General features: G+C 40.9%; 1 annotated feature.

Annotated features, from left to right (window-relative positions):
* Positions 1-16,592: part of a centromere (Linear centromere model derived predominantly from reads generated in PMID: 17803354. This region does not represent an actual centromere sequence, as long-range ordering of repeats and unmapped WGS contigs is not provided by the model. For details of model production, see http://arxiv.org/abs/1307.0035.) that runs on past both edges of the window.

Below are 16,592 nucleotides of genomic sequence, written 5' to 3' on the forward strand. Positions count from 1 at the left end.
GGGCCTCTTTGAAGATTTCGTTGGAAACGGGATAATCTTCACAGAAAAGCTAAACAGAAGCATGCTCAGAAACTTCTTTGTGATGTTTGCTTTCAACTCACAGAGTTGAACTTTCCTTTTGAGAGAGAAGCTTTGAAACACTCTTTTTCTAGAATCTGCAAGTGGATATTTGGAGGGCTTTGAGGCCTGAGGTGGAACAGGAATTATCTTCCCGTAAGAACTAGATAGATGCATTCTCAGAAACTACTTTGTGACGATTGCATTCAAGTCACAGAGGTGAACATTCCCTTTCAGAGAGCACTTTGGAAACTCTCGTTGTGTAGAATCTGCAAGTGGAGATATGGACCGCTTTGAGGCCTATGGTAGTAAAGGAAACAGCTTCATATAAAAACTAGACAGCAGCATTCTCAGAAAACTCTTTGTGACGACTGAGTTTAACTCACAGGGCTGAACATTCCTTTGGATGGAGCAGTTTGGAAACACACTATCTGTAGGATCTGCAAGCGGATACTTGGGTCTCCCTGAGGATTTCGTTGGAAACGGGATAAACCGCACAGAACTAAACAGAAGCATTCTCAGAACTTCTTCGTGATGTTTGCATTCAACCCACAGTGTTGAACCTTTCTTTGATAGTTCAGGTTTGAAACACTCTTTTTGTAGAAACTGCAAGTGGATAACTGCACTTCTTTGAGGCCTATCGTAGTAAAGGAAATAACTTCCTATAAAAACAAGACAGAAGCTTTCTCAGAAAATTCTCTGGGATGATTGAGTTGAACTCACAGAGCAGTACTTTCCTTGGGATGGAGTAGTATCGAAACACACTTTCTGTAGAATCTGCAAGTGGATATTTGGACCTGTCTGAGGAATTCGTTGCAAACGGGATAATTTCAGCTAAGTAAACAGAAGCAGTCTCAGAATCTTCTTGTGATGTTTGCATTCAAATCCCAGAATTGAACCTTCCTTTGAAAGTTCAGGTTGGAAACACTCTTTTTGCAGGATCTACAAGTGGATATTCGGACCACTCTGTGGACTTCGTTCGAAACGGGTATATCTTCACATAACATCTAGACAGAAGCATTCTCAGAAACTTTTCTGTGATGACTGCATAAAACTCACAGAGTTGAACACTCCTTTTGAGAGCGCAGTTTTGAAACTCTCTTTCTCTGGAATCTGCAAGGGGACATGCAGACCTCTTTGAAGGTTTCGTTGGAAACAGAATCATCTTCACATAAAAATTACACAGAAGCATCCTCAGGAACTCCTTGGTGATGTTTGTATTCAACTTCCAGAGTTGAACTTTTCTTCGGAAAGAGCAGCTATGAAACACTCTTTTTCTAGAATCTGCAAGTGGACATTGGGAGGGCTGTGAGGTTTGTGGTGGAAAAGGAAATATCTCCACATAAATACTAGATAGAAGCCTTCTCAGAAACTCCTTTGTGATGATTGCATTCACCTCACGGAGTGGAGCATTCCTATTGACAGAGCAGTTTGGAAACACTCTTGTTGTAGAATCTCCTAGTGGAGATTTGGAGCGCTTTGGCCTATGGTAGTAAAGGGAAGAGCTTCACATAAAATCTTGAAAGAAGCATTCTCAGAAAATACTTTGTGATGATTGAGTTTAACACACAGAGCTGAACATTCCTTTGGATGGAGAAGGTTTGAAACACACTTTCTGTAGAATCTGCGAGTGGATATTTGGACCTCTCTGAGGATTTCGTTGGAAACGGGATAACTGCACCTAACTAAACGGAAGCATTCTCACAAAATTCTTTGTGATGTTTGCATTCAAATCCCAGAGTTGAACCTTCCTTTGATAGTTCAGCTTTGAAACACTCTTTTTGTAGGATCTGCAAGTGGATATTTGGACCACTCTTTGGCCTTCGTTCGAAACGGGTACATCTTCAAATAAAATCTAGACAGAAGCCTTCTCAGAAACTTCTCTGTGACGATTGCATTCAACTCAAAGCGTTGAACCCTCCTATGGATAGAGCAGTTTTGAATCTCTCTTTTTGTGGAATCTGCAAGTGGATATGTGGTCCTCTTTGAAGATGTCTTTGGAAACGGGAATATCTTCACATTAAATCTAAACAGAAGCATTCTCAGAAACTTCTCTGTGATGTTTGTGTTCAACTCACAGAGTTTCACGTTGCTTTTCATAGAGCAGATGAGAAACATGCTTTTCGTAGGGTCTGCAAGTGGACATTTGGAGAGCTTTCAGGCCTGTGGTGGAAAACGAATTATCGTCACGTAAAAACTAGAGAGAAGCATTGTCAGAAACTTGTTTGTGATGACTGCATTCAACTCACAGAGTTGAAGGTTCCTTTTCAAACAGCAGTTTCCAAACACTCTTTCTGTGGCATCTGCAAGTGGATGTTTGGGCCTCTTTGAAGATTTCGTTGGAAACGGGATAATCTTCACAGAAAAGCTAAACAGAAGCATTCTCAGAAACTTCTTTGTGATGTTTGCTTTCAACTCACAGAGTTGAACTTTCCTTTTGAGAGAGAAGCTTTGAAACACTCTTTTTCTAGAATCTGCAAGTGGATATTTGGAGGGCTTTGAGGCCTGTGGTGGAAAAGGAATTATCTTCCCGTTAAAACTAGATAGATGCATTCTCAGAAACTACTTTGTGACGATTGCATTCAAGTCACAGACGTGAACATTCCCTTTCACAGAGCACTTTGGAAACTCTCGTTGTGTAGAATCTGCAAGTGGAGATATGGAGCCCTTTGAGGCCTATGGTAGTAAAGGAAACAGCTTCGTATAAAAACTAGACAGCAGCATTCTCAGAAAACTCTTTGTGATGACTGAGTTTAACTCACAGGGCTGAACATTCCTTTGGATGGAGCAGTTTGGAAACACACTATCTGTAGGATCTGCAAGCGGATACTTGGGCCTCTCTGAGGATTTCGTTGGAAACGGGATAAACCGCACAGAACTAAACAGAAGCATTATCAGAACCTTCTTCGTGATGTTTGCATTCAACCCACAGTGTTGAACCTTTCTTTGATAGTTCAGGTTTGAAACACTCTTTTTGTAGAAACTGCAAGTGGATAACTGCACTTCTTTGAGGCCTATCGTAGTAAAGGAAATAACTTCCTATAAAAACAAGACAGAAGCTTTCTCAGAAAATTCTCTGGGATGATTGAGTTGAACTCACAGAGCAGTACTTTCCTTGGGATGGAGTAGTTTCGAAACACACTTTCTGTAGAATCTGCAAGTGGATATTTGGACCTGTCTGAGGAATTCGTTGCAAACGGGATAATTTCAGCTAAGTAAACAGAAGCAGTCTCAGAATCTTCTTGTGATGTTTGCATTCAAATCCCAGAATTGAACCTTCCTTTGAAAGTTCAGGTTGGAAACACTCTTTTTGCAGGATCTACAAGTGGATATTCGGACCACTCTGTGGACTTCGTTCGAAACGGGTATATCTTCACATAACATCTAGACAGAAGCATTCTCAGAAACTTTTCTGTGATGACTGCATTCAACTCACACAGTTGAACACTCCTTTTGAGAGCGCAGTTTTGAAACTCTCTTTCTCTGGAATCTGCAAGGGGACATGCAGACCTCTTTGAAGGTTTCGTTGGAAACGGAATCATCTTCACATAAAAATTACACAGAAGCATTCTCAGGAACTCCTTGGTGATGTTTGTATTCAACTTCCAGAGTTGAACTTTCCTTCGGAAAGAGCAGCTATGAAACACTCTTTTTCTAGAATCTGCAAGTGGACATTGGGAGGGCTGTGAGGTTTGTGGTGGAAAAGGAAATATCTCCACATAAATACTAGATAGAAGCCTTCTCAGAAACTACTTTGTGATGATTGCATTCACCTCACGGAGTGGAGCATTCCTATTGACAGAGCAGTTTGGAAACACTCTTCTCGTAGAATCGGCTAGTGGAGATTTGGAGCGCTTTGAGGCCTATGGTAGTAAAGGGAAGAGCTTCACATAAAATCTAGACAGAAGCATTCTCAGAAAATACTTTGTGATGATTGAGTTTAACACACAGAGCTGAACATTCCTTTGGATGGAGCAGGTTTGAAACACACTTTCTGTAGAATCTGCGAGTGGATATTTGGACCTCTCTGAGGATTTCGTTGGAAACGGGATAACTGCACCTAACTAAACGGAAGCATTCTCACAAAATTCTTTGTGATGTTTGCATTCAAATCCCAGAGTTGAACCTTCCTTTGATAGTTCAGCTTTGAAACACTCTTTTTGTAGGATCTGCAGTTGGATATTTGGACCACACTTTGGCCTTCATTCGAAAAGGGTACATCTTCAAATAAAATCTAGACAGAAGCCTTCTCAGAAACTTCTCTGTGATGATTGCATTCAACTCAAAGCGTTGAACCCTCCTATGGATAGAGCAGTTTTGAATCTCTCTTTTTGTGGAATCTGCAAGTGGATATGTGGTCCTCTTTGAAGATGTCTTTGGAAACGGGAATATCTTCACATAAAAACTAAACAGAAGCATTCTCAGAAACTTCTCTGTGATGTTTGTGTTCAACTCACAGAGTTTCACGTTGCTTTTCATAGAGCAGATGAGAAACATGCTTTTCGTAGGGTCTGCAAGTGGACATTTGGAGAGATTTCCGGCCTGTGGTGGAAAACGAATTATCGTCACGTAAAAACTAGAGAGAAGCATTGTCAGAAACTTGTTTGTGATGACTGCATTCAACTCACAGAGTTGAAGGTTCCTTTTCATACAGCAGTTTCCAAACACTCTTTCTGTGGCATCTGCAAGTGGATGTTTGGGCCTCTTTGAAGATTTCGTTGGAAACGGGATAATCTTCACAGAAAAGCTAAACAGAAGCATTCTCAGAAACTTCTTTGTGATGTTTGCTTTCAACTCACAGAGTTGAACTTTCCTTTTGAGAGAGAAGCTTTGAAACACTCTTTTTCTAGAATCTGCAAGTGGATATTTGGAGGGCTTTGAGGCCTGTGGTGGAAAAGGAATTATCTTCCCGTAAGAACTAGATAGATGCATTCTCAGAAACTACTTTGTGACGATTGCATTCAAGTCACAGAGGTGAACATTTCCTTTCAGAGAGCACTTTGGAAACTCTCGTTGTGTAGAATCTGCAAGTGGAGATATGGACCGCTTTGAGGCCGATGGTAGTAAAGGAAACAGCTTCATATAAAAACTAGACAGCAGCATTCTCAGAAAACTCTTTGTGACGACTGAGTTTAACTCACAGGGCTGAACATTCCTTTGGATGGAGCAGTTTGGAAACACACTATCTGTAGGATCTGCAAGCGGATACTTGGGCCTCTCTGAGGATTTCGTTGGAAACGGGATAAACCACACAGAACTAAACAGAAGCATTCTCAGAACCTTCTTCGTGATGTTTGCATTCAACCCACAGTGTTGAACCTTTCTTCGATAGTTCAGGTTTGAAACACTCTTTTTGTAGAAACTGCAAGTGGATAACTGCACTTCTTTGAGGCCTATCGTAGTAAAGGAAATACCTTCCTATGAAAACAAGACAGAAGCTTTCTCAGAAAATTCTCTGGGATGATTGAGTTGAACTCACAGAGCAGTACTTTCCTTGGGATGGAGTAGTTTCGAAACACACTTTCTGTAGAATCTGCAAGTGGATATTTGGACCTGTCTGAGGAATTCGTTGCAAACGGGATAATTTCAGCTAAGTAAACAGAAGCAGTCTCAGAATCTTCTTGTGATGTTTGCATTCAAATCCCAGAATGGAACCTTCCTTTGAAAGTTCAGGTTGGAAACACTCTTTTTGCAGGATCTACAAGTGTATATTCGGACCACTCTGTGGACTTCGTTCGAAACGGGTATATCTTCACATAACATCTAGACAGAAGCATTCTCAGAAACTTTTCTGTGATGACTGCATTCAACTCACAGAGTTGAACACTCCTTTTGAGAGCGCAGTTTTGAAACGCTCTTTCTCTGGAATCTGCAAGGGGACATGCAGACCTCTTTGAAGGTTTCGTTGGAAACGGAATCATCTTCACATAAAAATTACACAGAAGCATCCTCTGGAACTCCTTGGTGATGTTTGTATTCAACTTCCTGAGTTGAACTTTCCTTCGGAAAGAGCAGCTATGAAACACTCTTTTTCTAGAATCTGCCAGTGGACATTAGGAGGGCTGTGAGGTTTGTGGTGGAAAAGGAAATATCTCCACATAAATACTAGATAGAAGCCTTCTCAGAAACTACTTTGTGATGATTGCATTCACCTCACAGAGTTGAGCATTCCTATTGACAGAGCAGTTTGGAAACACTCTTGTTGTAGAATCTGCTAGTGGAGATTTGGAGCGCTTTGAGGCCTATGGTAGTAAAGGGAAGAGCTTCACATAAAATCTAGACAGAAGCATTCTCAGAAAATACTTTGAGATGATTGAGTTTAACACACAGAGCTGAACATTCCTTTGGATGGAGCAGGTTTGAAACACACTTTCTGTAGAATCTGCGAGTGGATATTTGGACCTCTCTGAGGATTTCGTTGGAAACGGGATAACTGCACCTAACTAAACGGAAGCATTCTCACAAAATTCTTCGTGATGTTTGCTTTCAAATCCCAGAGTTGAACCTTCCTTTGATAGTTCAGGTTTGAAACACTCTTTTTGTAGGATCTGCAAGTGGATATTTGGACCACTCTTTGGCCTTCCTTCGAAACGGGTACATCTTCAAATAAAATCTAGACAGAAGCCTTCTCAGAAACTTCTCTGTGGTGATTGCGTTCAACTCACAGAGTTGAACGCTCCTATGGATAAAGCAGTTTTGAATCTCTCTTTTTGTGGAATCTGCAAGTGGATATGTGAACCTCTTTGAAGATGTCTTTGGAAACGGGAATATCTTCACATAAAAACTAAACAGAAGCATTCTCAGAAACTTCTCTGTGATGTTTGTGTTCAACTCACAGAGTTTCACGTTGCTTTTCATAGAGCAGATGAGAAACATGCTTTTCGTAGGGTCTGCAAGTGGACATTTGGAGAGCTTTCAGGCCTGTGGTGGAAAACGAATTATCGTCACGTAAAAACTAGAGAGAAGCATTGTCAGAAACTTGTTTGTGATGACTGCATTCAACTCACAGAGTTGAAGGTTCCTTTTCAAACAGCAGTTTCCAAACACTCTTTCTGTGGCATCTGCAAGTGGATGTTTGGGCCTCTTTGAAGATTTCGTTGGAAACGGGATAATCTTCACAGAAAAGCTAAACAGAAGCATTCCCAGAAACTTCTTTGTGATGTTTGCTTTCAACTCACAGAGTTGAACTTTCCTTTTGAGAGAGAAGCTTTGAAACACTCTTTTTCTAGAATCTGCAAGTGGATATTTGCAGGGCTTTGAGGCCTGTGGTGGAAAAGGAATTATCTTCCCGTAAGAACTAGATAGATGAATTCTCAGAAACTACTTTGTGACGATTGCATTCAAGTCACGGAGGTGAACATTCCCTTTCAGAGAGCACTTTGGAAACTCTCGTTGTGTAGAATCTGCAAGTGGAAATATGGACCGCTTTGAGGCCTATGGTAGTAAAGGAAACAACTTCATATAAAAACTAGACAGCAGCATTCTCAGAAAACTCTTTGTGATGACTGAGTTTAACTCACAGGGCTGAACATTCCTTTGGATGGAGCAGTTTGGAAACACACTATCTGTAGGATCTGCAAGCGGATACTTGGGCCTCTCTGAGGATTTCGTTGGAAACGGGATAAACCGCACAGAACTAAACAGAAGCATTCTCAGATCCTTCTTCGTGATGTTTGCATTCAACCCACAGTGTTGAACCTTTCCTTGATAGTTCAGGTTTGAAACACTCTTTTTGTAGAAACTGCAAGTGGATAACTGCACTTCTTTGAGGCCTATCGTAGTAAAAGAAATAACTTCCTATAAAAACAAGACAGAAGCTTTCTCAGAAAAATCTCTGGGATGATTGTGTTGAACTCACAGAGCAGTACTTTCCTTGGGATGGAGTAGTTTCGAAACACACTTTCTGTAGAATCTGCAAGTGGATATTTAGACCTGTCTGAGGAATTCGTTGCAAACGGGATAATTTCAGCTAAGTAAACAGAAGCAGTCTCAGAATTTTCTTGTGATGTTTGCATTCAAATCCCAGAATTGAACCTTCCTTTGAAAGTTCAGTTTGGAAACACTCTTTTTGCAGGATCTACAAGTGGATATTCGGACCTCTCTGTGGACTTCGTTCGAAACGGGTATATCTTCACATACCATCTAGACAGAAGCATTCTCAGAAACTTTTCTGTGATGACTGCATTCAACTCACAGAGTTGAACACTCCTTTTGAGAGCGCAGTTTTGAAACTCTCTTTCTCTGGAATCTGCAAGGGGACATGCAGACCTCTTTGAAGGTTTCATTGGAAACGGAATCATCTTCACATAAAAATTACACAGAAGCATTCTCAGGAACTCCTTGGTGATGTTTGTATTCAACTTCCAGAGTTGAACTTTCCTTCAGAAAGAGCAGCTATGAAACACTCTTTTTCTAGAATCTGCAAGTGGACATTGGGAGGGCTGTGAGGTTTGTGGTGGAAAAGGAAATATCTCCACATAAATACTAGATAGAAGCCTTCTCAGAAACTACTTTGTGATGATTGCATTCACCTCACGGAGTGGAGCATTCCTATTGACAGAGCAGTTTGGAAACACTCTTGTTGTGGAATGTGCAAGTGGAGATTTGGAGCGCTTTGAGGCCTATGGTAGTAAAGGGAATAGCTTCATAGAAAAATTAGACAGAAGCATTCTCAGAAAATACTTTGTGATGATTGAGTTTAACTCACAGAGCTGAACATTCCTTTGGATGGAGCAGGTTTGAGACACACTTTTTGTAGAATCTACAAGTGGATATTTGGACCTCTCTGAGGATTTCGTTGGAAACGCGATAACTGCACCTAACTACACGGAAGCATTCTCACAAAATTCTTTGTGATGTTTGCATTCAAATCCCAGAGTTGAACCTTCCTTTGATAGTTCAGCTTTGAAACACTCTTTTTGTAGGATCTGCAAGTGGATACTTGGACCACTCTTTGGCCTTCGTTCGAAACGGGTACATCTTCAAATAAAATCTAGACAGAAGCCTTCTCAGAAACTTCTCTGTGACGATTGCATTCAACTCAAAGCGTTGAACCCTCCTATGGATAGAGCAGTTTTGAATCTCTCTTTTTGTGGAATCTGCAAGTGGATATGTGGTCCTCTTTGAAGATGTCTTTGGAAACGGGAATATCTTCACATAAAAACTAGACAGAAGCATTCTCAGAAACTTCTCTGTGATGTTTGTGTTCAACTCACAGAGTTTCACGTTGCTTTTCATAGAGCAGATGAGAAACATGCTTTTCGTAGGGTGTGCAAGTGGACGTTTGGAGAGATTTCAGGCCTGTGGTGGAAAACGAATTATCGTCACGTAAAAACTAGAGAGAAGCATTGTCAGAAACTTGTTTGTGATGACTGCATTCAACTCACAGAGTTGAAGGTTCCTTTTCAAACAGCAGTTTCCAAACACTCTTTCTGTGGCATCTGCAAGTGGATGTTTGGGCCTCTTTGAAGATTTCGTTGGAAACGGGATAATCTTCACAGAAAAGCTAAACAGAAGCATTCTCAGAAACTTCTTTGTGATGTTTGCTTTCAACTCACAGAGTTGAACTTTCCTTTTGAGAGAGAAGCTTTGAAACACTCTTTTTCTTGAATCTGCAAGTGGATATTTGGAGCGCTTTGAGGCCTGTGGTGGAAAAGGAATTATCTTCCCACAAGAACTAGATAGATGCATTCTCAGAAACTACTTTGTGACGATTGCATTCAAGTCACGGAGGTGAACATTCCCTTTCAGAGAGCACTTTGGAAACTCTCGTTGTGTAGAATCTGCAAGTGGAGATATGGACCGCTTTGAGGCCTATGGTAGTAAAGGAAACAACTTCATATAAAAACTAGACAGCAGCATTCTCAGAAAACTCTTTGTGACGACTGAGTTTAACTCACAGGGCTGAACATTCCTTTGGATGGAGCAGTTTGGAAACACACTATCTGTAGGATCTGCAAGCGGATACTTGGGCCTCCCTGAGGATTTCGTTGGAAACGGGATAAACCGCACAGAACTAAACAGAAGCATTCTCAGAACCTTCTTCGTGATGTTTGCATTCAACCCACAGTGTTGAACCTTTCTTTGATAGTTCAGGTTTGAAACACTCTTTTTGTAGAAACTGCAAGTGGATAACTGCACTTCTTTGAGGCCTATCGTAGTAAAGGAAATAACTTCCTATAAAAACAAGACAGAAGCTTTCTCAGAAAATTCTCTGGGATGATTGACTTGAACTCACAGAGCAATACTTTCCTTGGGTTGGAGTAGTTTCGAAACACACTTTCTGTAGAATCTGCAAGTGGATATTTGGACCTGTCTGAGGAATTTGTTGCAAACGGGATAATTTCAGCTAAGTAAACAGAAGCAGTCCCAGAATCTTCTTGTGATGTTTGCATTCAAATCCCAGAATTGAACCTTCCTTTGAAAGTTCAGGTTTGAAACACTCTTTTTGCAGGGTCTACAAGTGGATATTCGGACCACTCTGTGGACTTCGTTCGAAACGGGCATATCTTCACATAACATCTAGACAGAAGCATTCTCAGAAACTTTTCTGTGATGACTGCATTCAACTCACAGAGTTCAACACTCCTTTTGAGAGCGCAGTTTTGAAACTCTCTTTCTCTGGAATCTGCAAGGGGACATGCAGACCTCTTTGAAGGTTTCGTTGGAAACGGAATCATCTTCACATAAAAATTACACAGAAGCATCTTCAGGAACTCCTTGGTGATGTTTGTATTCAACTTCCAGAGTTGAACTTTCCTTCGGAAAGAGCAGCTATGAAACACTCTTTTTCTAGAATCTGCAAGTGGACATTGGGAGGGCTGTGAGGTTTGTGGTGGAAAAGGAAATATCTCCACATAAATACTAGATAGAAGCCTTCTCAGAAACTACTTTGTGATGATTGCATTCACCTCACGGAGTTGAGCATCCCTATTGACAGAGCAGTTTGGAAACACTCTTCTTGTAGAATCGGCTAGTGGAGATTTGGAGCGTTTTGAGGCCTATGGTAGTAAAGGGAAGAGCTTCACATAAAATCTAGACAGAAGCATTCTCAGAAAATACTTTGTGATGATTGAGTTTAACACACAGAGCTGAACATTCCTTTGGATGGAGAAGGTTTGAAACACACTTTCTGTAGAATCTGCGAGTGGATATTTGGACCTCTCTGAGGATTTCGTTGGAAACGGGATAACTGCACCTAACTAAACGGAAGCATTCTCACAAAATTCTCTTTGATGTTTGCATTCAAATCCCAGAGTTGAACCTTCCTTTGATAGTTCAGCTTTGAAACACTCTTTTTGTAGGTTCTGCAGGTGGATATTTGGACCACTCTTTGGCCTTCGTTCGAAACGGGTACATCTTCAAATAAAATCTAGACAGAAGCCTTCTCAGAAACTTCTCCGTGATGATTGCATTCAACTCAAAGCGTTGAACCCTCCTATGGATAGAGCAGTTTTGAATCTCTCTTTTTGTGGAATCTGCAAGTGGATATGTGGTCCTCTTTGAAGATGTCTTTGGAAACGGGAATATCTTCACATAAAAACTAAACAGAAGCATTCTCAGAAACTTCTCTGTGATGTTTGTGTTCAACTCACAGAGTTTCACGTTGCTTTTCATAGAGCAGATGAGAAACATGCTTTTCGTAGGGTCTGCAAGTGGACGTTTGGAGAGATTTCAGGCCTGTGGTGGAAAACGAATTATCGTCACGTAAAAACTAGAGAGAAGCATTGTCAGAAACTTGTTTGTGATGACTGCATTCAACTCACAGAGTTGAAGGTTCCTTTTCAAACAGCAGTTTCCAAACACTCTTTCTGTGGCATCTGCAAGTGGATGATTGGGCCTCTTTGAAGATTTCGTTGGAAACGGGATAATCTTCACAGAAAAGCTAAACAGAAGCATTCTCAGAAACCTCTTTTTGATGTTTGCTTTCAACTCACAGAGTTGAACTTTCCTTTTGAGAGAGAAGCTTTGAAACACTCTTTTTCTAGAATCTGCAAGTGGATATTTGGAGGGCTTTGAGGCCTGAGGTGGAAAAGGAATTATCTTCCCGTAAGAACTAGATAGAATGCATTCTCAGAAACTTCTTTGTGACGATTGCATTCAAGTCACAGAGGTGAACATTCCCTTTCACAGAGCACTTTGGAAACTCTCGTTGTGTAGAATCTTCAAGTGGAGATATGGACCGCTTTGAGGCCTATGGTAGTAAAGGAAACAGCTTCATATAAAAACTAGACAGCAGCATTCTCAGAAAACTCTTTGTGACGACTGAGTTTAACTCACAGGGCTGAACATTCCTTTGGATGGAGCAGTTTGGAAACACACTATCTGTAGGATCAGCAAGCGGATACTTTGGCCTCCCTGAGGATTTCGTTGGAAACGGGATAAACCGCACAGAACTAAACAGAAGCATTCTCAGAACCTTCTTCGTGATGTTTGCATTCAACCCACAGTGTTGAACCTTTCTTTGATAGTTCAGGTTTGAAACACTCTTTTTGTAGAAACTGCAAGTGGATAACTGCACTTCTTTGAGGCCTATCGTAGTAAAGGAAATAACTTCCTATAAAAACAAGACAGAAGCTTTCTCAGAAAATTCTCTGGGATGATTGAGTTGAACTCACAGAGCAGTACTTTCCTTGGGATGGAGTAGTTTCGAAACACACTTTCTGTAAAATCTGCAAGTGGATATTTGGACCTGTCTGAGGAATTCGTTGCAAACGGGATAATTTCAGCTAAGTAAACAGAAGCAGTCTCAGAATCTTCTTGTGATGGTTGCATTCAAATCCCAGAATTGAACCTTCCTTTGAAAGTTCAGGTTGGAAACACTCTTTTTGCAGGATCTACAAGTGGATATTCGGACCACTCTGTGGACTTCGTTCGAAACGGGTATATCTTCACATAACATCTAGACAGAAGCATTCTCAGAAACTTTTCTGTGATGACTGCATTCAACTCACAGAGTTGAACACTCCTTTTGAGAGCGCAGTTTTGAAACTCTCTTTCTCTGGAATCTGCAAGGGGACATGCAGACCTCTTTGAAGGTTTCGTTGGAAACGGAATCATCTTCACATAAAAATTACACAGAAGCATTCTCAGGAACTCCCTGGTGATGTTTGTATTCAACTTCCAGAGTTGAACTTTCCTTCGGAAAGAGCAGCTATGAAACACTCCATTTCTAGAATCTGCAAGTGGACATTGGGAGGGCTGTGAGGTTTGTGGTGGAAAAGGAAATATCTCCACGTAAATACTAGATAGAAGCCTTCTCAGAAACTACTTTGTGATGACTGCATTCACCTCACGGAGTGGAGCATTCCTATTGACAGAGCAGTTTGGAAACACTCTTCTTGTAGAATCGGCTAGTGGAGATTTGGAGCGCTTTGAGGCCTATGGTAGTAAAGGGAAGAGCTTCACATAAAATCTAGACAGAAGCATTCTCAGAAAATACTTTGTGATGATTGAGTTTAGCACACAGAGCTGAACATTCCTTTGGATGGAGCAGGTTTGAAACACACTTTCTGTAGAACCTGCGAGTGGATATTTGGACCTCTCTGAGGATTTCGTTGGAAACGGGATAACTGCACCTAACTAAACGGAAGCATTCTCACAAAATTCTTCGTGATGTTTGCTTTCAAATCCCAGAGTTGAACCTTCCTTTGATAGTTCAGGTTTGAAACACTCTTTTTGTAGGATCTGCAAGTGGATATTTGGACCACTCTTTGGCCTTCCTTCGAAACGGGTACATCTTCAAATAAAATCTAGACAGAAGCCTTCTCAGAAACTTCTCTGTGACGATTGCATTCAACTCAAAGCGTTGAACGCTCCTATGGATAGAGCAGTTTTGAATCTCTCTTTTTGTGGAATCTGCAAGTGGATATGTGGTCCTCTTTGAAGATGTCTTTGGAAACGGGAATATCTTCACATAAAAACTAAACAGAAGCATTCTCAGAAACTTCTCTGTGATGTTTGTGTTCAACTCACAGAGTTTCACGTTGCTTTTCATAGAGTAGATGAGAAACATGCTTTTCGTAGGGTCTGCAAGTGGACATTTGGAGAGATTTCAGGCCTGTGGTGGAAAACGAATTATCGTCACGTAAAAACTAGAGAGAAGCATTGTCAGAAACTTGTTTGTGATGACTGCATTCAACTCACAGAGTTGAAGGTTCCTTTTCAAACAGCAGTTTCCAAACACTCTTTCTGTGGCATCTGCAAGTGGATGTTTGGGCCTCTTTGAAGATTTCGTTGGAAACGGGATAATCTTCACAGAAAAGCTAAACAGAAGCATTCTCAGAAACTTCTTTGTGATGTTTGCTTTCAACTCACAGCAGTTGAACTTTCCTTTTGAGAGAGAAGCTTTGAAACACTCTTTTTCTAGAATCTGCAAGTGGATATTTGGAGGGCTTTGAGGCCTGTGGTGGAAAAGGAATTATCTTCCCGTAAGAACTAGATAGATGCATTCTCAGAAACTACTTTGTGACGATTGCATTCAAGTCACAGAGGTGAACATTCCCTTTCAGAGAGCACTTTGGAAACTCTCGTTGTGTAGAATCTGCAAGTGGAGATATGGACCGCTTTGAGGCCTATGGTAGTAAAGGAAACAGCTTCATATAAAAACTAGACAGCAAGCATTCTCAGAAAACTCTTTGTGACGACTGAGTTTAACTCATAGGGCTGAACATTCCTTTGGATGGAGCAGTTTGGAAACACACTATCTGTAGGATCTGCAAGCGGATACTTGGGCCTCTCTGAGGATTTCGTTAGAAACGGGATAAACCGCACAGAACTAAACAGAAGCATTCTCAGAACCTTCTTCGTGATGTTTGCATTCAACCCACAGTGTTGAACCTTTCTTTGATAGTTCAGGTTTGAAACACTCTTTTTGTAGAAACTGCAAGTGGATAACTGCACTTCTTTGAGGCCTATCGTAATAAAGGAAATAACTTCCTATAAAAACAAGACAGAAGCTTTCTCAGAAAATTCTCTGGGATGATTGAGTTGAACTCACAGAGCAGTACTTTCCTTGGGATGGAGTAGTTTCGAAACACACTTTCTGTAGAATCTGCAAGTGGATATTTGGACCTGTCTGAGGAATTCGTTGCAAACGGGATAATTTCAGCTAAGTAAACAGAAGCAATCTCAGAATCTTCTTTGTGATGTTTGCATTCGAATCCCAGAATTGAACCTTCCTTTGAAAGTTCAGGTTTGAAACTCTCTTTTTGCAGTATCTACAAGTGGATATTTGGACCACTCTGTGGCCTTCGTTCGAAACGGGTATATCTTCACATAACATCTAGACAGAAGCATTCTCAGAAACTTTTCTGTGATGACTGCATTCAACTCACAGAGTTGAACACTCCTTTTGAGAGCGCAGTTTTGAAACTCTCTTTCTCTGGAATCTGCAAGGGGACATGCAGACCTCTTTGAAGGTTTCGTTGGAAACGGGAATCATCTTCACATAAAAATTACACAGAAGCATTCTCAGGAACTCCTTGGTGATGTTTGTATTCAAATTCCAGAGTTGAACTTTCCTTCGGAAAGAGCAGCTATGAAACACTCTTTTTCTAGAATCTGCAAGTGGACATTGGGAGGGCTGTGAGGTTTGTGGTGGAAAAGGAAATATCTCCACATAAATACTAGATAGAAGCCTTCTCAGAAACTACTTTGTGATGATTGCATTCACCTCACGGAGTGGAGCATTCCTATTGACAGAGCAGTTTGGAAACACTCTTGTTGTAGAATCTGCTAGTGGAGATTTGGAGCGCTTTGAGGCCTATGGTAGTAAAGGGAAGAGCTTCACATAAAATCTAGACAGAAGCATTCTCAGAAAATACTTTGTGATGATTGAGTTTAACACACAGAGCTGAACATTCCTTTGGATGGACAAGGTTTGAAACACACTTTCTGTAGAATCTGCGAGTGGATATTTGGAACTCTCTGAGGATTTCGTTGGAAACGGGATAACTGCACCTAACTAAACGGAAGCATTCTCACAAAATTCTTTGTGATGTTTGCATTCAAATCCCAGAGTTGAACCTTCCTTTGATAGTTCAGCTTTGAAACACTCTTTTTCTAGGATCTGCAGGTGGATATTTGGACCACTCTTTTGCCTTCGTTCGAAAAAGGTACATCTTCAAATAAAATCTAGACAGAAAGCCTTCTCAGTAAACTTCTCTGTGACGATTGCATTCAACCCAAAGAGTTGAACCCTCCTATGGATAGAGCAGTTTTGAATCTCTCTTTTTGTGGAATCTGCAAGTGGATATGTGGTCCTCTTTGAAGATGTCTTTGGAAACGGGAATATCTTCACATAAAAACTAAACAGAAGCATTCTCAGAAACTTCTCTGTGATGTTTGTGTTCAACTCACAGAGTTTCACGTTGCTTTTCATAGAGCAGATGAGAAACATGCTTTTCGTAGGGTCTGCAAGTGGACATTTGGAGAGATTTCCGGCCTGTGGTGGAAAACGAATTATCGTCACGTAAAAACTAGAGAGAAGCATTGTCAGAAACTTGTTTGTGATGACTGCATTCAACTCACAGAGT

Source organism: Homo sapiens, chromosome 17 (assembly GCF_000001405.40).
Source record: "Homo sapiens chromosome 17, GRCh38.p14 Primary Assembly".
NCBI classification, from domain to species: domain Eukaryota; kingdom Metazoa; phylum Chordata; class Mammalia; order Primates; family Hominidae; genus Homo; species Homo sapiens.